The sequence below is a fragment of the Homo sapiens genome, chromosome 10 (assembly GCF_000001405.40).
Source record: "Homo sapiens chromosome 10, GRCh38.p14 Primary Assembly".
Classification (NCBI taxonomy): Eukaryota; Metazoa; Chordata; class Mammalia; order Primates; family Hominidae; genus Homo; species Homo sapiens.
This window is the reverse complement of record NC_000010.11, coordinates 26,713,515-26,736,229: the sequence shown is the minus strand read 5'-3', so window position 1 is coordinate 26,736,229 and position 22,715 is coordinate 26,713,515. Positions and strand designations below refer to the sequence as shown.

General features: G+C 43.5%; 1 protein-coding gene and 1 pseudogene across 7 annotated transcripts in view; both read right to left on the bottom strand.

Moving 5' to 3' along the window:
* Positions 1–22,715, bottom strand: part of PDSS1 (decaprenyl diphosphate synthase subunit 1) — a 49,098-nt gene that overhangs the window by 10,569 nt on the left and 15,814 nt on the right. For 4 of the 7 annotated variants that reach the window (NM_014317.5, XM_024447922.2, XM_017016011.3 and 1 more), the window contains 5 exons: positions 15,871–16,012; positions 12,313–12,424; positions 12,107–12,216; positions 910–990; positions 651–764 (listed from right to left, as the gene is read on the bottom strand). In NM_014317.5, coding sequence (NP_055132.2) covers positions 651–764; positions 910–990; positions 12,107–12,216; positions 12,313–12,424; positions 15,871–16,012 — 559 coding nt within the window. Of the gene's footprint in view, positions 1–650; positions 765–909; positions 991–12,102; positions 12,217–12,312; positions 12,425–15,870; positions 16,096–22,715 lie in introns of those variants that run through there. The other 3 variants (NM_001321979.2, XM_047424933.1, NM_001321978.2) reach the window with 3 other exon arrangements.
* On the bottom strand, positions 20,175–21,598 carry HSPA8P3 (heat shock protein family A (Hsp70) member 8 pseudogene 3; annotated as a pseudogene).

The window sequence follows — 22,715 nt, the reverse complement described above, 5'->3', positions numbered from 1 at the left end:
GTCTGCTTTGTCAGTCGAGGGAACATCTTTGAAGCTTCCTAAGCCTTTCATTCACATTAAGGGGGACTCAGTCCCTCAATCCGGAGAAAGAAGGAACTATGTGGGTCTACTGCACTCCACTGACTTCCTGACATTTTGAGGCAATGGCCGAGGTTCTAAAGCCTCTCTCAGAGCAGCAGAGTCTCATTAAACTTCTAGAACCGGAGAATTTCTTATGCTTGGAGGCCCTTGATGCTTCCTATGCCTTTTAAGGGGCTCTGAGGACCACCAAAGTCCAGTCCTATAATCAAGACTTAGAAACCGTTCACTTTGCCAGTGGCCAAAATATATGGAAATAATCACGATGCTACCTCAAATGCCTATGGCACACCACAAGACACAAAGATCTCAAATAGGATCTTAGCTAATCCTCACAACCACCCTGGGAGAAAGGTGATCTTCTCAATTTCACAGATAAGGAAACAGTCTTAGCAAGGTGAAATGACCAGCCCCAACATCTCACTCAGCCAGGATCAAATGCAGACCTGTGATCTCTTATCTGAATGCCTTCCCATCTATTCCTTTATGCAATCTTCCCATCAGCTGTGCCGCGGGACATCAGTTCTGTGGGGCTATGCAGTGATGTGTCAAAGGGAGTTTGTAAAACCTACCTGCTGACAGGCAAACAGGACAGGACCAGTGGCTAACCCGAGCTTCAGATCAGCTGATGTTGGTTTGCCCATCTGGTCAGAACACGAGGTGAAGTCCAATACATCATCTATTAGCTGGCAAAAGGAAAAATGGGATGTAAGGAGCACCGCCATGCCAACACTGCTGCCATCGTTCTTACTATTTTGACGATTACACACTAGGGGAGAATGCTGACTGTATCACTACGCCACCATTCTTACAAATAAAAAGCATACTAACCTGAAAAGCTATTCCTACATTTTTTCCGTACTGATAGGCGATCTCATGCACCACTGGGTCGGGACATCCTAGAACAGAGACCTGAAACAGAAAGAGCATTCTGAGATAAGCTGCTTCCAGGCAGCAACAAAGCAGCTGACCCCTGGCTGAAGGAATTCCTTAAAATAGGAGGCAGCGGGGCTAGATTATACACACTCAGGAGATGCTGACATCAGAGGGACACCAAGCATGTACAAAACCGCATTTCCAGTCAAGAATTTCAGTCTCAGATTGTGTTGTTAAATTCTAAGAAAATTCTCCTTCTCCAACCCCTGCTTTCAGACAGGATAAGCAGCCTTTCCCACTGCTTAGGAAAAACTGAGCTACAACTGGACTAGTTCTGCTGGTAACATGCTAAGTAAACCTTCTTGACATGCAAAAGAAACGGACCCCCATCTGTGAAATACTGACTTCTAGCACTCGGCAAGCTAGCCCGATTACTGTTGGCTTTAATCATCTCTATCAATGTATCCCTCATTTCAGGAAGAGATACTAATGTAATCACACACAATTTTCCCATCTGTAGTCCTTTCTTTTCATCATCGTTGGGAATTTCACCTGTTTCTGAATGCAGTTATTTCTTGGTGTGTCCATAAAAATCATCTCAAGCCTCCTGCTTCAGACACAGATATCGCTCTTTCATTATCGGAAGGAACTTCACTGGTCCCACTGTTTCCACATTTCTCTCAAAAGAAGTAACTGTATAAAAACCCTTTTCCCTCCTTTCAATGGGGGAGAAATAAGACTTCTGAAAGTCTTTTTAAAACTCCAAAAAGCTAGCTGGCACCGGCCACTGAAGTGCATTTCCCAGTGCCCTGCTAAGCATGTTAAGCAGGCCCAGCCACATTTTCAGAAAACAAAGCCTGGGTAAAACCAACAAGGGGGAGGGGAGAGACGGTCTGTGTTCTACTGGAGGGGAAATGTCTCTGTTGACTCTCCATGAGAAAGCCAGCTGGAGCACTGCACAGTTGCCTTTCTGTAAGGCTCGCGGATGCTAGGAAACCCTGTCCCCTGACCTTCGGTCGTGCCTCTGTGGCTCTCCAGTCAGGGAGTGAACTTTGCTCAGGCGTCAGTGTGGTGCAGTGCTGCGGGCTCTGCTGTGAGACTGTGGGGCTGCATTTGTGCCCTCTACAAGACCTCGGCATGTTACTGAATCTCTCTTGCTCATCTGTACAATGTAGAAATCACAAGCACTTACCTTGTAGGGTTGCTGTGAGAAACAGACATGATGCTGCATTTAAGCCCTCAGTATACTGCCTGGCACCTGGTTAGAACTCAATGTGTGTTTGCTATTATTATCTCTTTTTAGAAATAGGGTCTCACTCTGTTGCCCAGGCTGGGGTACAGTGGTGCGATCATAGCTCACTGTAACCTTGAACTCCTGGGCTCAAGGGTTCCTTCCGCCTCAGTCTCCTGAGTAGCTGGGACTACAGGCACGCGCAACCACACCCAGCTAATTTTTAATTTTTTCATAGAGATGGAGTCTCACCATGTTGTCTAGGCTGGCCTCAAACTCCTGGGCTCGTGATCCTCCCACCTCCACCTCCCAAAGCGTTGAGATTATCAGGTGTGAGCCACCGCACCTGGCTGTTTGCTATTATTACAAATAATCCTCCTCCACCTCATCCACTGGAACCAGAAATAGGAGCCTTGGCAGTGTCCACGCACCTCTGCCAACTAAAGCCAGGTTGCCTAACGTCCTCAGCCTGAGAATGCTTTTTGACAACTTAATGAGGTCTGTTGACTATGTAGTGCTTGGCCATAAGTACATGGTAAAATTGCATGCACCATAAAGGGTCAGGTGGCCACTGAGTTGAGTGAACAGTAAGCTCATAACTGCTTTCAACAGCAACCACCTTCCCATGAGCAGGCACCGACCCCTGGGCTGTCAGGGAGGGCTCCTTTTTTCAACTGAAGAGTCTGGGAGACCATATGGGGGACAATTCAGAAACTTTCGAGAGAAGCTAAGATCAGCTTGGCTCAAAGGAGAGCATGGCAAGATTTGGGCAGCCTGGGATGTGCTGGGCTCAGGACAGAATGATACTGGGAATCAAGATATTTCCACGTAGAAATAACTGATAGTGAAGCAGTCTCCTGTAGTGAGATTAATGCTGTTTCCTCAACACAGAGCCACAGAGACTATAAGCTTTCTTCCTGAAAAGTGAAAGATTTTCTAAAAATCTATTTCTTTTTTTGGAGACGGAGTCTCTCTGTCACCCAGGCTAGAGTGCAGCGGCACGATCTGGGCTCACTGTAATCTCCACCTCCCAAGTTCAAGCGATTCTCCTGCCTCAACCTCCGTATGCCACCACGCCCAGCTAATTTTTGTATTTTTAGTAGAGACGGGGTTTCAGGCTGGTCTCGAACTCCTGACCTCAGGTGATCCGCCTGCCTCAGCCTCCCAAAGTGCTGGGATTACAGGCGTGAGCCACCGTGCCCGGCCTAAAAATCTGTTAGTGAACATTTTAATGGATTAAAATGTGTGGAGCACATATGATGAACACTTTGTATGATTTGAGTTAAACCTCACAATATCCCACAAATATGGATTATGTGGTTGGTGATGATAAAAGCTAACAATTTCTGAGCGTCCACTATGTGCTAGGCACTGTTCTGAGAGTTCTCACATCTTAAGTCACTTATGAAGTTCGAGAAACTGAGACACAGACGGTACCAGGCATTACATGGCTCCAACACGCTGGAACCTGAATTTCATCCACATGGTCTGGCTCCAGACACTGTTCTCTTCATCACTTCAACACAGGAGTGCTGCTTCTATGCTGGGCAACAAAATAGAACCTCCAAGAGGTCAAGGAATGTGTCCAAGTAAGCATAAAGCTGCAGTCTGTCTGCACTGTCCCCTCTGTGCCCACACATGCTGAACAGAGCTTATTTAGTGGGCAGCTTCTGCCTGACACATGGCGAAGGGACATTACTGCTCAGATTTCAACTATCCCAGATTTCCCTGGGGTAGCATAAAGACCATGCCAGAGAGTCCTGCTTCCCCATCCCAGGTCAGTACTGCCTAGATCTGTAGCAGGAAAACAGAAAACAACTGCCACAAATTGGACGCAACATAGCACAACATACAAGAAGGCAAAGAGGTGCACAGACTTGCGCTCAGCATCAGAGGGATGCCTCACATCTTTCCGGAAATGGGTGGAGCATGAAGAATGATTAAGTCAAAGAAAGTGGAGCTCGGCTGACTGTTTTGTTTGAAGCAGATGCTGCAGCCAGGCTGTGCTGTGCGTATGCACTTCTTTCTGGGGAAGGTTCACACCTTGCATCACATCCTTACAAGCCACGTCTCAACGAGACTGGGAAGGGCTGGGCGCAGTGGCTCACGCCTGTAATCCCAGCTACTTGGGAGGCTGAGGCAGGAGAATTGCTTGAACCTGGGAGGCGGAGGTTGCAGTGAGCCGAGATCGTGCCACTGCACTCCAGCCTGGGTGACAGAGTGAGACTCCGATAAATAAACAAATAAATAAATGGCCCTTAAGCATCTGAAAAATGTTCCACCTCACTCAGAAAGGAGAGATGTAAATTAAAACTCCACTGCAATACATTCTCCTCTACTGGACTGGCAAAAACTCAAGCGTGTAATGGCACATTTAGTTAGTAAGGCTGTGGGAAAAGAGGTTCCGAAAAGCTGCTGGTGGAAACACATACTGGTACAGACCCAACAGAGGGAAATCTGGTGGTGCCTAACAAAACCACATGTGCAATTACCCCTAAATTCACCCTGCAGGCACTCCTCTCACAACACAAAAATAGGTTTATGCACGATCAGCCCTTGCAGTAGTGTTTGTAATTGTAAAACTGGAAACCTAAATGCCCATGTATAGAAGATTGGCTGAATAAACCATGCTATGTCCACATAATGGGATCTGATACAGAGGCTTTTAAAAAAATTTTTAAATTATTTATTTATTAATTTTTTTGAGATGGAGTCTCACTTTGTCGCCCATGCTGGAGTGCAGTGACGTGATCTTGGCTCACTACAACCTCCACCTCCCGGGTTCAAGCTATTCTTGTGCCTCAGCCTCCCGAGTAGCTGGGATTACAGGCACCCACCACCATACCTGGCTAATTTTTGTACTTTTAGTAGAGATGGGGTTCCACCATGTTGGCCGGCCTGGCCTTGAACTCTGGTCTCAAGTGATCCGCCTGCTTTGGCCTCCCAAAGTGCTGGGATTACAGGTGTGTGCCACCACGCCCAGCTAATTTTTGTATTTTTAGTGGAGAAGGGGTTTCACCATGTTGGCCAGGCTGGTCTCGAACTCCTGACCTCGTGATTCGGCCGCCTCAGCCTCCCAAAGTGCTGGGATTACAAGCCCAGCCCTGATACAGTGGTTTTAAAAATGAGGAAGATCCTACAAACCAATGTGGAATCATTTTCCTAATAAATTGTTAACTGAAGAAATGCAAAAGGAAAGCAGAGTAGTCTAGGGTACTACTTCTTGCTGTGAGAAAGAAGGGAAGATAGCATACTTGTGTCTGCCTGTTTGTGCTAAACGAAACCCAGGAAGGAGGAACCAGAAGTGAACGAGACTGCTTACCTACAAGGGGGTAGGGGAAGAAAACAGGGCAAAAGGGAGAGTTACTGTATTGTATAGTTCTGACTTTTGGAGCTACATTAATGTCTTTTATTTTTTTTATTATTATTATTTTTTTAGACAGAGTCTCACTCTGTTGCCAGGCTGGAGTGCAGTGGTGTGATCACAGCTCACTGCAGCCTCGACCTCCCAGGGCTCAGGTGATCCTCCCACCTCAGCCTCCCAGGTAGCTGGGACTTCAGGTGTGCACTACCACACCCAGCTAATTTTTGTATTCCTTGTAGACAGAGGTTTCGCCATGTTGCCCAGGCTGGTCTCAAACTCCTGGGCTCAAGCAATCCATCTGCCTTGGCCTCCCAAAGTGCTAGGATTACAGGCATGAGACACTGTGCCCAGCCACGTTGTTTCAAACATTCAAAACAACAGCAACAATAACAAAACGCTCAAAACCAAAACACGAAATCAGCAAGAATGAGAGGGAATCCCTAAAGTGGAATAAAAATGAATCCAACTAGGCTGGGCGCGGTGGCTCACACCTGTAATCCCAGCACTTTGGGAGGCCGAGGTGGGCGGATCACGAGGTCAGGAGATCGAGACCATCCTGGCTAACACCATGAAACCCCATCTCTACTAAAAATACAAAAAATTAGCCGGGCGTGGTAGCGGGCACCTGTAGTCCCAGCTACTCGGGAGGCTGAGGCAGGAGAATGGCGTGAACCCGGGAGGCAGAGCTTGCAGTGAGCTGAGATAGTGCCACTGCACTCCGGCCTGGGCGAAAGAGCAAGACTCCGTCTCAAAAAAAAAAAAAAAAAAAAAAAAAAGGAACCAACTATTAACCCATTTATGCTGGAGGTTGCAAATTTGTTTTGTGAAAAATCAGACCTTGGTAATGACCTTGAGCAGTAGGATAGAAATAACTCCACAAGCTTAGCATTCCAATAATGGAACACTAGGCATAAATGGGTTAATATATTCCAAATAATAACACAACCACACTGATACGTAGAGAAAGGTAACTTTTGAACAGTGCTTTGATTCTATTATCCTCAGGCCCAAGACAAAAGGAATGATAAATACTGAATTCTAGCTACTGGGTTTGTTTTTCACAGAGATATGAGTCATGAATTTGTAAACTCCTATGGTATATTCTCAGATTGTGCAAATAAATACACCGCGGAGAAGAGGAGCCAGGTCTCTCACTGTTTGGGAAGGGGGTTACAAATATGGAAAGATGGAATCCTGGAATAAACCACAAATCCTGTGGTGTTAGATGGATTTGGAACTATCTGTTTGATACCTCGTGGTTTTGAATAAGTATGGATGGGTACAGAAAGATATACACGTATCTACCTACATTACATATAATACATACATGTATTTCCTAGCTCTGTCCATTGAGTGGGTCTAGAAACGATGACACCCAGTACTCAAATTCTGGTTTCTTAACACCATTTTCCACCAAAAGGAATGTGGGCTCCTTGGAGAACAGTGAATAACAGGGCTGAATATCTCCTGCCAGAAATGGGGTGCTGAAAAAATGATGGAGGACACAGAGCCAGGTTAAAGGGCCTCCCCTACTGGCCATACGTTGGATAATTGAGTATTAAAATAATGACAGTGTTATAATCTACAGAATAAAATAAGATGGCTGGGCACGGTGACTCACGCCTATAATCCCAGCACTTTGGGAGGCCGAGGTGGGCGATCACTTGAGGCCAGGAGTTTGAGACCAGCCTGGGCAAAATGGCAAAACCCCGTCTCTACTAAAAATACAAAAAAGTCATCCGGGTATGGTGGCAGCCGCATGTAATCCCAGCTACTCAGGAGGCTGAGGTGGGAGGATCACCTGAGCCCGGGAGGTGGAGGTTGCAGTGAGCTGAGATTGCACCACTGCACTCCAGCGTGGGTGACAGAGTGATACCCTGGCTCAAAAAAAAAAAAAAAAAAAAAAGATACAGAATAAAATAAGAATCCAAGAGCCCATACAGTTAAGAGCTTCCTTACAATGGAATACCAACTCTTCAGCTCTTTTGAGAATGAAATAATAATAACAAAAAAAATAGGATACCAACTTTCTTGTAGAAGAGTGATATAGAAGAAATGATGAAAATAGAAAAACAGCCATTTGACAACCATCAGAATAATATTTACATAATCTGAAAATACTTTGCCCAAAATAGGTTAAAATAGTAATTTTAGATTGAAGAAACCTGGCAGACAGTATCTTTTTTTTTTGAGATGGAGTTTCACTCTTGTTGCCCAGGCTTGAGTGCAATGGTGCAATCTCGGCTCACTGCAACCTCCGCCTCCCGGATTCAAGCAATTCTCCTGTATCAGCCTCCAGAGTAGCTGGGATTATAGGCGCCTGCCACTACGCCCGGCTAATTTTTGTATTTTTAGTAGAGACATGGTTTCACTATGTTGGCCACGCTTGTCAAACTCTTGACCTCAGGTGATCTACCTGCCTCGGCCTCCCAAAGTGCTGAGATTACAGGTGCCCGCCACCATGCCCAGCTAATTTTTTATAATTTTAGTAGAGATGGGGTTTTACCATGTTGGCCAGGCTGGTCTTGAACTCTTGACCTCAGGTAATCTGCCCACCTCGGCCTTCCAAAGTGCTGGGATTACAGGCGTGAGCCACTGTGCCCGGCCCGACAGTATCCTAATCAAGCGATCCAGGCATGCATCACCAGTAATGGGACAGACAAGACAGCACGCGCCTCCTGGTATGAGGAGCTGAGGACAGCACCGCTCTTGTGGTATTCCTGCCAAATATTCATAACCTGGATCGAATCTTGAGAAGTATCAGAGAAGCCCGACTGAGAGGCTCAACAACATAACTGGCCTGCACTCTTCCAAATACCAAGGTAATGAGAGGCAAAGAAAGACTGTTCTAGATGACAAGAGACTACAGAGTCATGACAGCAAAATGCAACGTGAAATCCTGGACTGGATGCTGGAACAGAAAAATATGTTTTCCCTTTCGTTATAACAGTTCACAACTGGCAAGATCTGAATGAGGCCTATAGATAGATATGAATATTGTAAAAAAAAAAGAGGCCAGGTGTGGCATGTGGTGGTGTGCACCTGTAATCCCAGCTACTCGGGAGGCTGAGGTGGGAGAATCACTTGAACCTGGGAGGTGGAGGTTGCAGTGAGCTGAGATCATGCCACTGCGCTCCAGCCTGGGCAACAGAGCGAGACTCCATCTCAAAAAAATGAATTAAAAAAAAAAAAAAAGAGTGTTCTGCTAATGTGACCCACAATATGCAATTCTGTAGTGGTACTCTGAGGCTTTGAAAATCAAGTAATAGGAAGAGAGCCCATTAATTCCAGGCCACAAGCAGCCCTGGAGAAAATAGAAATTCAGAAAAAAAAAAAAAAAGAGAGAGAGAGAGAGAGAAACAAGGCAGGATTACCATACCCAGCTCTGGGTTCAAGTCTCAACTCAGCTACTGTCTGGCTTAACAACAACTGGACAGGCCCTCTGACCTCTCAGGTCTCATTTCCACCAGATTTCCTGGGAAACAAGCCACTGTCTTTATTAGTAAACTACAAAATGTATTTTGCATGAGTACAAAATGTATTTTGCAAGTGAGTAAGTATGTAAATAAATAAGTCATCTTTTGATAATAACATGAATTCTGGTTTGTTTGTTTTTTTTTTGAGAGACTCTCGCTCTATTGCCCAGGCTGGAATGCAGTGGAGTGATCTTGGCTCACTGCAACCTCCACCTCCCGGGTTCAAGCGGTTCTCCTGCCTCAGCTTCCCAAGTAGCTGGCATTACAGGCGTGCACCACCACGCCCGGCTAATTTTTGTATTTTTAGTACAGACGGGGTTTTGCCATGTTGGCCAGGCTGGTCTTGAAATCCTGGACTAAAGTGATCCACTCGCCTCGGCCTCCTAAAGTGTTAGGATTACAGGTGTGAGCCACCGTGCCCGGCCTAAAATGGATTCTATTTTAATATCAGTCAATCACAAAACAATCCCCCTAGACAGCCCTCTCTTAGATTTTAATATTATTTTCACTAAAAAAAGGAAGGGAGATGAAGAAATGGTATCCTTAGTAGAATGCAGCTTGTAAGTTTCCCTCCAATTCTCAATACATTTTGCAATCCCATTAGTTCTTCTTCTGTAATAATTCTGCTCTTTCAGTTCTCCTCCTCCCCTCTTTTTGGTGTGTCTAATTTGCTTTGCATGCATTTATTTGGAGCTCGCATGGCTTTGCATTTTAAATACCAAGAGTACGTAAAAATAGCCATTTTGAATCCATAACACCTCTGGAATATTTCCACCCATAGGCACTTAAATATAGAAACTTTTATTCAAATAGCTCACACTATCATTTTGCTTTATTATTCTAAGAGCTGTGGAGTTTAGGAATAAACCACATGAAAAGGAGGTAGTGCTGGGACGATGCCAGCATGCCCCCTAGTGGGCAGCATGAAACATTTCATTTTTAATAAGGGTCCAGCCACGTTAACATGTTCACTGTTCGTTCAGCTGCTAATCTTTGAAGAATGAGGTGCATATCTTTATAAAAGAATTCCTGTGCATTATCTTTGGCTTCTTAAACAGAAAACAGTGACCACAAGGAAACCTCTCTATCATGACTCAGGTCCATTTCTTTGGACCCTTTGTAAGCTTCCATCACTGAGTGAATTTCTGTGCTAGCTCCAATTTGGTGCCGCCCCACCCCGTGCCTGCAGGATGTCTGCATGGTGCAGACAGTAAGTCTTGGTGTTTCCAATTCCAATAGTCTCACTACTACTAATGCTTCTAAGACTTTATTTTTTAAACATTATTTTTAAGTAGAGATGGGGATCTTGCTATGTTGCCTAGGTTGGTCTTGAACTTCTGGTCACAAGCAAACCTTCCGCCTCAGTCTCCCTAAATGCTGGGATTACAGGTGTGAGCCACCTTGCCTGACCATGCTAATGCTTCTAAGTTTGCAGTCTCAAATTGTGAAATTATCAATGAGCCTCACTTAACACATCCTCTTAAGGATAAATATTAGTAAGTAATATTAAGGCACCCTAATGTGTTAAGAGGATGGATCCTGACCTTCAGGGAGAGTTGGGCCATCAAGGGCATGATAATATGTAAAGGATTACTGTAAAAGTGTTAGAGCACCCACTTAAAATAGGCTATTCTCTTATTTAGCATCTCGTGTCTATACTTTCTTCCATCTCACTTTAAAAAAAAAACCCACATAATTTCTTGGAAATAAAAACATAATAGCCCTTTTAATAAAAAGACAAAAGTGGTCGAGACTGTGGCTAGCATGTTCTACATAATTCACATTCCTTAAAGTTTCTATTAGGTCTTTTTAGGAAGAAAAGATTGTCCTCATTCTTTTCTGCCTTGCAATTATACATTTCTTGACACTTTTCAAAACAGAGACACTAACAGCAAGAGACTTTTTCATCTGAGAGGTCTGAGCAAAAGCTCTCTTTACCTGTTAATTATGTTAGGAGTCTATCATGACAGCAATTGACATGCGACCCTTACAGGTCTTCCTTATTTTGTGGCTGTAATTACATGGGAATGTCATTTGTCCAGGTTTTGTCTCTGTGTATCTGTCAGGCTTAGAGATGGGCAGATAAACAATTCTATGGAGAGACTGCTTTTCATTCTTGGACTAACGATGAATACCACACATTTGTCTACGGATTAAAGGTATTACTCATTAAAAAAAAAATGTATACATGTGTATGCACAGCGGAGGGAGGGAGAAAGCAAGGGGAAAAACAGTTATGGCTTATACTCAATTTGTACTCTGAAGAAATAGGACTTGTTTATATTTCATGTAAAAATATTAGAAGGATTGGCCAGGTGCAATGTATTGGCCAGGTGCAATGGCTCATGCCTGTAATCCCAGTACTTTGCAGGGCCAAGGTGGGTGGATCACTTGAGGGCAGGAGTTTGAGACCAGCCCGGCCAACATGGCAAACCCCCATCCCTATGAAAAATACAAAAATTAGCTGGGTGTGATGGCGCACACCTGTGGTCCCAGCTACTAGGGAAGCTGAGGCAGGAGAATTGCCTGAACCTGGGAGGTGGAGGTTGTAGTGAGCCAAGATCACACCACTGCTTTGTAGCCTGGGCCACACAGCAAAAGACTCTGTCTCAAAAAAACACAAAAAACAAAAAAACAAAAAAAAGTTCATAGAATGCTAGTACAATCTAACAGATATCTTTTCCTGAGTAAATATTATATTAAAGAACAGAGCACTTCATTTCTAAAAGGTGAAGTGTCAGAAAGAGTGTGTGTGATATCAATCATTAGAGAAATTATGATAAATTGTTCAAAATGATACAGTTTGGCAATCAGATTGGGGAAGGTGCGGGAAAGCTTATTTTGATTGAATTCTTGGGAAGAAAAGATGAAAAGTCAACGCCTGCATACCAAAAGAAGATGGCAAAAATGAAAACACAGCAGAAGTCCTCTATTGTTTGGGGATGTCATTCTTTTCCTCATTAACCTCTTGGGATTTTTGGGTACTATTTTAAGATTCTTCACCGAAATATTTTCTAGGAAAATTAGCTCCCAAAAAAGAGCTATGAGGCTTTAACTTGAAGAAAGACAGAACGTACATACTGCTTTACAACTGTTGGCTATCAGGCTGGCGGTCTTCTTGAATGTCTTCTCAAGGTAGTGTGCAAATCTTTCATTCTCATTTTCTTTTGACCCGAGCTGAAGAAATTCACCTATAAAGAAGGAAAGGAGTCATTTGAGAGGTGGCTTTATTGCCTGGCTAAACACCAGGGTTGAATAACAAAGAAGAAAAATCAGAATCAACGTACCACGCACCAAATCTTCAATAACTTGGGTTAAAATAGATATAACAGTTGTATTTCCAATTCGTGCCAGAGCTATAGATGCTGCAGAAAGAATTAAATCTCCAGCAAGAACAGCCTAGAAAAAGACAGGGGGAAAACAGAACGTTCTGAAAAATCCATCAGAGCAGTAGAGCCAATGATGAAACTGACTGGAAGGGAGCTTCGTGGAAGTGGGGGCTCATCTTGGATGCAGGGTTTTTTACCTTCTTCTTCCTCAACAGGAGTCCGTAACAATCAGTTACAGATTTGGAACAGTGTTTGAACTGGACTGGCTCTCAGAGATGACCATGTCACTTCCCAGTTCGTAATAATCAGTTACAGATTTGGGACAGTGTTTGAACTGGACTGGCTCTCAGAGATGACCATGTCACTCTTCCCAGTTTCTAATAATCGGTTACAGATTTGGGACAGTACTTGAACTGTATTGGCTCTCAGAGATGACCATGTCCATCTCCCCAGTTGACACCTGAAGAAATCAATGCCTGGAGAGGGAGAGCAGCTTCACTCACCAGCCCCACCAAAATGCAGCTGCCTTCAGTTTCACTACACTGGATGTTCATTCTTCCTTTGTGCCTTTCCACTTACTGTTCCTTCTGCTCAAAAAGTTCTGCCCCCTTCTTCACTGAGTGGACTTATTTGCATAATTGGTTCAGATGCCACCTCTAAGAAGTTCCCCCCGATCCCTCAGTCTGGTCAGATGCCTCCCTTTTGTGCGTGTACAACACCCATGCATGCTGCGACCATCACACCTTGCGTACCAGTCAGTGATGCTCTAGTCTCTATGCTCCCAGGGCAGTGGGGAGGGTGGAGTGGAGTGGGAGCTCAGACTAGGAATCATCTCAGCTAGTACTGAGCACACCCCAGAGCATGGCACGATACATGTTATTTTCAATAAAAATTAAACCAAAGAATTTTGGCTCCAAGTGAAATGCTTTTTGTACTATGTGACACTGCCCCTCATTCCTAGACAAAAAAAAAAAAAAGTTTTTCCATTGAACACTAAGCAATCAACATATTTCCAGTCTTCTTTAGACTGTGATGGATGTCTACACTGTATTAGCAACTAGTTATAAACTACTGCATAAATAGTTGAATTATATGCTATAACCAAATACACCCTATATATCACATTAATTTGCATATTTAAAGATATATATTACATTCTTTTTTTTTTTTTTGAGAAAGAGTCTTGCTCTGTTGCCCAGGCTTGAGTACAGTGGCATGACCTCGGCTCACTGCAGACTCTTCCTCCTGGGTTCAAGCAATCCCCCCACCTCAGCCTCATGAGTAGCTGGGACTACAAGCGTACACCACCACGCCCAGGTATTTTTGTATTTTTACTAGAGATGGGGTTTCACCATGTTGGCCAGGCTGGTCTCGAACTCCTGGCCCCAAGTGATCCAACTGCCTCGGCCTCCCAAAGTGCTAGGATTACAGGCGTGAGCCACCACACCCAGCCGTAAGTGTTACATTCTGTAGTAATTAGTCATAAAGGCTAGAGTTCACAGAATTTTTAACATAACTATTTAGGTACTTATTGTCTTAGGTTCTTCAGTATCTAAACAGTGATGTTCATTGTGTTTACCAATTAATCACCACTTTATATAATATACATATTATGTAAGACATCCTGATGTAAGTATATGCCTATAAAGTCATTTTACAAATTATGATATATAGGTACCCACTTACATTCCCCGACCCAGCCCCTACATCATTAGCAGCTCAAGGCTCGGGATCCTTTGGCCTTTAGTTCCTTCTTCACCTGGCCGGGGAGATCCTAGAGACCAAAGGTCCAGCATATGACATGGAAGCCACAGGACTGTGACGGCCAGGGGTGGGAGTTAAAGGAAAGAAGTGCTAGGAAGCCCAGGCCAGGCCTAACAAGGGCTCACCGAGGGGGCACTGTGTGTGGGGGGTTTTGTACCGGTAACATAGCAGTTGTGGGTCAGAGGCAGAAACAGGTAGGAACTGGCAAGTAGCCCTGTGCTAAGCAGATGGCTGTCAGAACTGAAAGAGGCAGGTGAAGGCGGCACATGTGTCCTTGACCTGCCCTCAGAAAGAGGTCCCCAGTGGCAGAGGCAGACACACAGGGGCTAGCCAAGGCGGAGACCATCATTTGTTCTCTTGATCCTCTTCCCCCGCCCAAGGCTCCACATAAGGCTTTAGGACTGGCTATGCCTGAAAACAGATACAGCTGACGGCAGGGATGGGTCATAGAGTTACCCACATCCTCTCCAAATCTAAACGCCATCTGCTTTTTGGCCAACATTCTGATGTACAGAATTTAGTCAACAGGACGTAAAACCTTTTAATCTAAAATTTGAAATAAAAGGCATATAAATGAAATTGCAAGACTCGATTTCAAAACAGTCATTTATGTTCAAATAAAACCAGCATGTGAAGATAACAATAAACATATATATATGTATGTGTGTGTGTGTGTGTGTGTGTGTGTATACATATATCTCTTCTTTTAATAAGGAGAATTAAATAGGAATGAACCAGGAATACTATAAATCTATGAGAGAAAAGGAGGTGAGGGTGGGGTAGTTGTTTGCACAAACTTTTTTTTTTTTTTTTGAAATGGAGTCTCACTCTGTTGCCCAGGCTGGAGTGCAGTAGTGTGATATTGGCTCACTGCAACCTCCCTCTCCCAGGTTCAAGCGATTCTCCTGCCTAAGCCTCCTGAGTAGCTGAGATTACAGGTGTACGCTGGCTAATTTTTGTGTTTTTTTAGTGGTGACAGGGTTTTGCCTTGTTGGCCAGGCTGGTCTCGAACTCCTGACCTCAGGTGATCCACCCACCTCAGCCTCCCAAAGTGCTGGGATTACAGGCATGAGCCACTGCGCCTGGCCTGCACAAACTTTTTGTTTGTAGAGCACGTGTGTGGTGATGGCGATGGATGCCTGTGCATTTTCATTCTCATCTGTTCAACTTTATTCTCATCCTTCAACCCAGGATCTATGCATCCTCAAACCAAGTCCCTGTTTCCCATATTCCCAATGCTAATAATATAGAAATATGCTTTAATATATACATATATGAACCAAACCCAATTACAGAACTTCTATTTCAAAAGACAGAATTTTCATGGCAGAACAGTATCTCTCTGAGGTTTCTTTTTTCTTTTATTAGTTTTATTTGTTTGCTTTGGCATTTATATGCAGCACTCAATTATACAAATGTTTAAAAAATTAAACTGAATCTGGGTAATCTAAGCCCAAAAGTAAAACGTATGATTCCTCATGAAATACATTTTTTGGACACCCATGAAAATCCCTTTCCTTATAACCAAAGGAATTCTATTAGAAATACTAAGTTTATTTTTCCATGGTATTTTTTATTATTTATTTATCAAATATCTGTATTTGGACAAGACATGAATACTTTTTTGAAATTCAGAAGACCACATTACATTTGAGCAAGCATATTTTTAATGAGACAAATCTGAGAAACAAATGCGGTCCGAAAAGTGTGTGATTCAGTAAGAGAGATTTTAAAAAAACCAAAAAACCATACCTTCTTTTCACCCCAGATCTTATTAACTGTGTGTTTTCCTCTTCGAGAACTTGCATCGTCAATAACGTCATCGTGAACCAGACTAGCAGTGTGGATCATTTCTGCAATTAAGGCTATGGCGCGCTGGCTGGCTTGCACATGTCTAATTAACAGAAAGCAATGCTTTTTAACAGACGCCGCCTAGAACCTTCTCAGCAATCAGCTTGTGAAAACTGGACATCGGATCTAGGATAAAGAATGTTATTTCTCTAAGAGAAACGGTATAAAAACTCTGGCTTCACCACACAGCCATTTCTATACATTTACAAATGTATGAGAAACCCTGCCACAACTACATTTTATGAATTCCCCATTGAAGAAGTAGAAATTGTACCATTAGCCAAAAAAACAGTAAACGATCAGAAGTCTGGCTGATCTTATTGGGCTGAAGAATCATCTTTATAACAGTGTTCTTGGTCAGGTGTTTAAGTTTATAAGTTTACAATTAAATTTTGGGGTGGATAGGGAAGATAGGTGAGAAGCATTTTTTAAAAGTATTTTAAAGACTCAACTGTCTCAATGTTCAAGGCTTTTAATACTGTCTTTTTTGTTTTTGAGACAGGGTCTCGCTCTGTCACCCAGGCTGGAGTGCAGTGGTGCAATATTGGCTCACAACCTTCGCCTCCCAGGTTCAAGTGATTCTCCCACTTCAGCCTCCATGAGTAGCTGGGACTACAGGCATACACCACCACACCCAGCTAAATTTTATATTTTTAGTAGAGATGGGGTTTCACCATGTTGGCTAGGTTGGTCTCGAACTCCTGACCTCAAGTGATCCGCCTGCCTTGGCCTCCCAAAGTGTGGATTACAGGCGTAAGCCACCGCACCCCGCGTAGTAATGTCTTAAATTAAACGTTTAGTATGACAACCTCAGTAACCAACAGAAGATGTTTGTAAAACTTTCTTCCAACTCACATTTAACCTTCTCATTAGAAATTTAAACTTTTATTTCCCAAGTTTAACACAAACTATAGGATAAGTAGGCTCAAGAAGACAGGACACAGATATAAATTTTACAGTTCAGAGGGAATGTCCCCCATTTCATTTTAATCATTATTACCACCATCATCTATGGCAATTTTTAAAAACTAAATTTCAAGAAAATCAAACTGGCGAAATAACCATTTGGAACCTAAAACATATCCTCATTTAAACACACACTAACCAAATGTTGCACTTATTCCAAATGCTTATTTTCAAATACCATCAGGTTGTATCTTAGAGGGGAAAAAAGGGAGAGGGATTCTGAAATATGACTTTTTCTTTAAAAATCGAATCTGAACATCTGCACAAGGTAATGCTCATTCCAATTCCTCAGACCCGGCAGAAAGCAATGAAAAATGAAGTATAACTACATAAAAGGTGCTGTAATTTAACTATCGACACTAAATCAGCATGAGGAAAGCTTTTGATCTTGCTTTACATATAATTTTAAAATATGATGTCACGCTGGCTCCTCTTACCAGCAGCCTTAGAACTAAACCCTAGACCCTTTCAACTGCTCTCAGCCTGGAAATCATGTCTACAGTGCTACTCATTCCTTTTTTTTTTTTTTTTTTGAGATGGAATTTCACTCTTATTGCCCAGGCTGGAGTGCAATGGTGTGATCTCGGCTCACTACAACCTCTGCCTCCCGGGTTCAAGCCATTCTCCTGCCTTAGCCTCCCAAGTAGCTTGGATTACATGTGCACACCACCACATCCAGCTAATGTTTGTATTTTTAGTAGAGATGGGGTTTCACCATGTTGACCAGGCTGGTCTTGAATTCCTGACTTCAGGTGATCCACCCACCTCAGCTTCCCAAAGTGCTGGGATTACAGGTGTGAGCCACCACGCCTGGCCTCATTCTTTATTAATATTTCAGTTACAACTTCTTAATATGTCTAGATCACAACAAATTCTTCTAAGGGGGGAGTATTAAAACAAAAGCAGTGGAGGGTAGGGACAAATTAGCATATAAAAACCACTTCTGTAGTCTAGGCACAGTTACAGGTTCCTGCCTGTAATCCCAGCACTCTGGAAGGCTGAGGCGGGCGGATCACTTGAGGTCAGGAGTTCGAGACCAGCCTGGACAACAGGGTGAAACTCCAACTCTACTTAAAATACAAAGATTAGTCGGGCATGGTGGTGTGCATCTGTAATCCCAGCTACTTGAGAGGCTGATGCAGGAGAATCACTTGAGCCGGGAAGTGGAGGTTGCAGTGAGCCGAGATTATGCCACTGCACTCCAGCCTGGGTGACAGAGACTTCATTTCAAAAAAACACAAAAAAACCAAAAACCCCAATAAACTTCAGTAAATGAGAAAATAGAGGTTCAGGGTTCAGGTGAGTTTTAAGCCACCTGAATCCCTCAGTGAGATTCAGTTTTTATATTAGAATACTTAAATATTTTTCAGGTAAATTTACTAGGCCCTATCTTCTTTGAGTTGAATGCACAGGAAAAGATATAAACTTTTACAGTTTTTTTTTAATATAAGGCTTTTAGAATATTTTTGCAAGTGAATTTCAGTCTAATAAATTAGACACCTCCTACTAGTTAGCAGTAGACCTTACCTTAAAACAACAGGTAAGGTCTAGCCTTTCTCATGCATTCAGAAGTTGGGCACCACTTCCATTATGATAAATTACATCAGCAGACGGGGCTCCTGCTGAGAAGTTGCAATGAAATTGGCAGCACTCACCAAGATACTAGAGTTGTTTTGGTAATCTGAAGCTATTATTACAACAAAGATTTCTTAAAATATTTTGAAATTTCATAGACTATATATCCATCTAAAAATGTCATTTTGCGCCTGGCGCAGTGGCTCATGCCCATAATCCCAGCGCTTTGGGACGCCGAGGCGGGAGGATCACCTGAGGTCAGGAGTTCGAGACCAGCCTGGCCAACATGACGAAACCACGTCTCCACTAAAAATACAAAAACTAGCCAGGCATGGTAGTGGGTGCCTGTAATCCCAGCTACTTGGGAGGCTGAGGCAGGAGAATCACTTGAACCTGGGAGGTGGAGGTTGCAGTGAGCTGAGACTTGCACCACTGTACTCCAGCCTGGGGGGTAGAGCGAGACTCTGTCTCCGAATAAATAAATAAATAGAATAAAAAATGTCATTTTGCATGGCTAAATTGTTGACTGATGAAATCAGGATGAAACTGAAATGTTATTTGGTACTGTAACACAGCTTCTACGTAGAATATACATCATATTTCAGATGTTCCATAGTTTTACCTGATGTATTTTTTATCCAGTTCAGCTTTAGTGTGTGTCAGCTTACATCTGGGAAATGCTGCCACTGCTTATCCATAACATGAGGGTGGGACAGATGACCAAAATGCACAGATTACAGAAAAACCTCACACTGTCCTTAAGATGACATCTCCAAAATGCCAAACTGAATCAAGCCTTCAAAAAACTGGGCACCATTTCTATTTCCTACTGTGAAATAGTGGATCACATTTTCCCAGGATCTGGGAGAGGTGACAGGCAAGGTAGCATGGAAAATGAAGCCCTTGGTCTTGAGAGTTGGCTACGTCCTCTGTACTTCACACCTGCAAGAGTATGCTATGATTCAGCATGCCTGTCAGGACTTTTCTTTCCTCCTTCATTAGATTTAAAAAATTATCTTTTTTTTTTTTGAGATGGAGTCTTGCTCTTTCACCCAGGCTAGAGTGCAGGGGCGCAATCTTGACTCACTGCAACCTTCGCCTCCTTGTTTTAGTGATTCTTCTGCCTGAGCCTCCCAGGTAGCTGAGACTACAGGCGTGTGCCACCACGCCCAGATAATTTTTGTATTTTTAGTAGAGATGGGGTTTTGCCATGTTGGCAAGGCTGGTCTCAAACTCATGACCTCACATGATCCACCTGCCTTGGCCTCCCAGAGTGCTGAGATTACGTGAGCCACCGCACCCGGCCAAAAAAATTTTTTTAATAATGAAGAGTTTCAAACATACCTAAAAATAGATAGAATAATATAATGACCCTACCAGTGAATCCTTTACGAGGTTTACATGTGGTTTTACAAAATATATTTTCCCTGTTCATACTAATATAAAATGTGAAGTCTTAAATTGCAAGTAAACCCCCAGTGTGTAGGGAGGGATCTGTATCAAGGGCGCCTCCAATCTAAGGAATGGCAGAGTGCAGGGAGGAAGCCTGTGAGCTCCAACTTCTAGGCCATCCTCCCCAGCCACTGCTCATTCACCTTCTAAACCTAAAGAAACACGTAAGGCTCAGAATAAAGTCTGTCTCTCTTCAGTGGGAATTTTTTTAACTTGATCCTAACAGTCATAGATTTGTTAGCATTTTAATGTCAAGAGAAAATAATTGGTATCTAAAAGCAGCAACCCCTGAATATTTTCAGATTTAGCTGTGGATATAATGGATGTCTGCAAAGTTGCATCATAAATGATGCAGGGTTCACACTATTGCTTATTTGCTTGCCACTGAAGAAGAAATTACAAGAGCTTCTGAATCTTGGGATATGTGGAGAGAGACCCCTATGATGATACCTGGATCTACAACTTATCCAGGTTGCTCTGTGCAGAGCTTTCTCTATAGGGTCCAGGGTACTATGGACTAACCAGCATTCAGTTCTTTCAAATTGGGGATGGGTAAGGAAAGTGTAGGAGTGCCCAGGCGCGGTGGCTCATGCCTTTAATCTCAGCACTTTGGGAGGGGGAGACAGGCGGATCACTTGAGGTCAGGAGTTTAAGACTAGCCTGGCCAACATGATGAAACCCCGTCTCTACTAAAAATACAAACATTAGCTGGGCGTGATGGTGTGTGCCTGTAATCCCAGCTACTTGGGAGGCTGAGGCAGAAGAATCGCTTGAACCTGGGAGGCAGAGGTTGAAATGAGCTGAGATTGTGCCACTGCACTCCAGCCTGGGTGACAGAGCAAGACAAAAAAAAAAAAAAAAGTATAGGAGTTGATTCCTTTGCAGACAGAATCAGCCTCATCCTGGCATGGAGGGTGCTGAACAAGGTGCACACACCACGGTCACAAGCCCTGCAGCCCTCTTGCTCTCACTGAGGTTCTTATGCTTGACCTTGCACTCATGCATGAAATGATGACCATCTGCTCATCAAAATCTCCAGCTTAATGGGTGTCCCTTACTGTAGAATGTACTTCAAAGATCCGTTTTAACAGTGACTATGGACATATCCACAGAACCATCTCCTAGGTGAAAGACAAAACCATTTCCTTTGGTAGCAACCTTCTTGCCTATCCCATAAACAGCAGCAGCAGTGGCTGGCTCAGTGACACAGAACACACAGAAACCAGGAATGGCTCTACAGTTGTTAGTGGCCTGACCTTTGGAATCACTGGAGCCAGTCAGTGCTAAATGGCTGTTTTGTTACAGTCTTTTCAGGGATAGGCTTTGGTAATTTCCTTAGTTTTTTATAGTGCTATAAAAGTTACCTCCTCTGAATACAGGATTGTTATCACACCTGGACTCTCAACCTGTTATCTACTGTGAAAACTGTGTCTAATAATTTGACCCCCTAAACATCTAGTTCAGCTTTGAAAACTGGACTAATGTAATCCAATGCCATTGGCTATTTGCAAAATTGATATCAACAGATCTCTGTACAGCACAATTTGGGTAGTCTGTTATCCTGATTGCTGGCAATGATATTCACTTCTTAGAACTAAAAGAGTTTCACACAGGAATGGATGGTGCCAAGATCCAGGTGCCAGTGATAACAGTGTCTTCAATGAGGCAGCTGAGCAGGCTAGGTAGGTTTGGCTTGTCTGAGAAACATGCAGACACTATAACTGTGCTGCATTCAGTGAGTGAAGCAATTTTATAGAAATCTATCATAAAGCTCTTTTTCTTTTCTTTTTTTTTTTTTTTTGAGACAGAGTCTCCCCTAGGCTGGAGTGCAGTGGCGCAATCTCTGCTCACTGCAGCCTCCACCTCCTGGGTTCAAGCGATTCTCCTGCCCCAGCCTCCTGAGTAGCTGGGATTTATAGGTGTGTGTCACCACGACTGGCTAATTTTTATATTTTTTGTAGAGATGGGGTTTCACCATGTTGGCCAGGCTAGCCTCAAACTCCTGAACTCATGTGATCCACCCACCTTGGCCTCCCAAAGTGCTGGGATTACAGGCGTGAGCCACTGTGCCCAGCCCATAAAGCTCTTTTTTGATCTGGGTTCTTTAATAAAATGAGCTTGGGTTTTGCTGAGCTCTGTTGCAAGTTAGGTTCTGCAGGAGGCAGACTCTGAGATGAAGTTTAAAGGACAGGATGTTTATTCGGGATTATCCCTTGGGATTACTGACACCTGAGGGAGGGGGAGAGGATACAGGACTGGGTAGCAGGAGAAGCTGAGCTGGAATCAACAGCCTGAAACACCCTCTAGGGTGTGCAGGTAGAATGGCCCTTCATCTATCAGTCCCTGGATGTGGGCTGCCTCCCGAAGGGGCACAGCCTAAGGTGAGAGGACTCTTTGTAACCAAGGCAATCCTTGAAGAGGCTAAGAAATGAAGGCCAACAGGTACCAACCATACCTGGTACAGCAGCTGGGGCAGAGTCGTGCACTGACGGGGGATCTGGGGGCAAGTCTCAGGATCCACCACAACTCTGTGTTCTGGACATGTCAAGTCTGAGTCTACTGTTGTGTGGATTCCTACTTTCTCTACCCAGACACCATGGTTAGCAAGATTCAGAGAGAAAACAAACACGGGGTCCTGAGCTTTTCAGGGCCCTACTTCCCTTTGAGAATAAACTGTAAGCCATAGAAATCCTTCCCCAAAAAATCCAAATATACACAAAATTTTGCATACAATGTCAAGTTGTTTACAGACA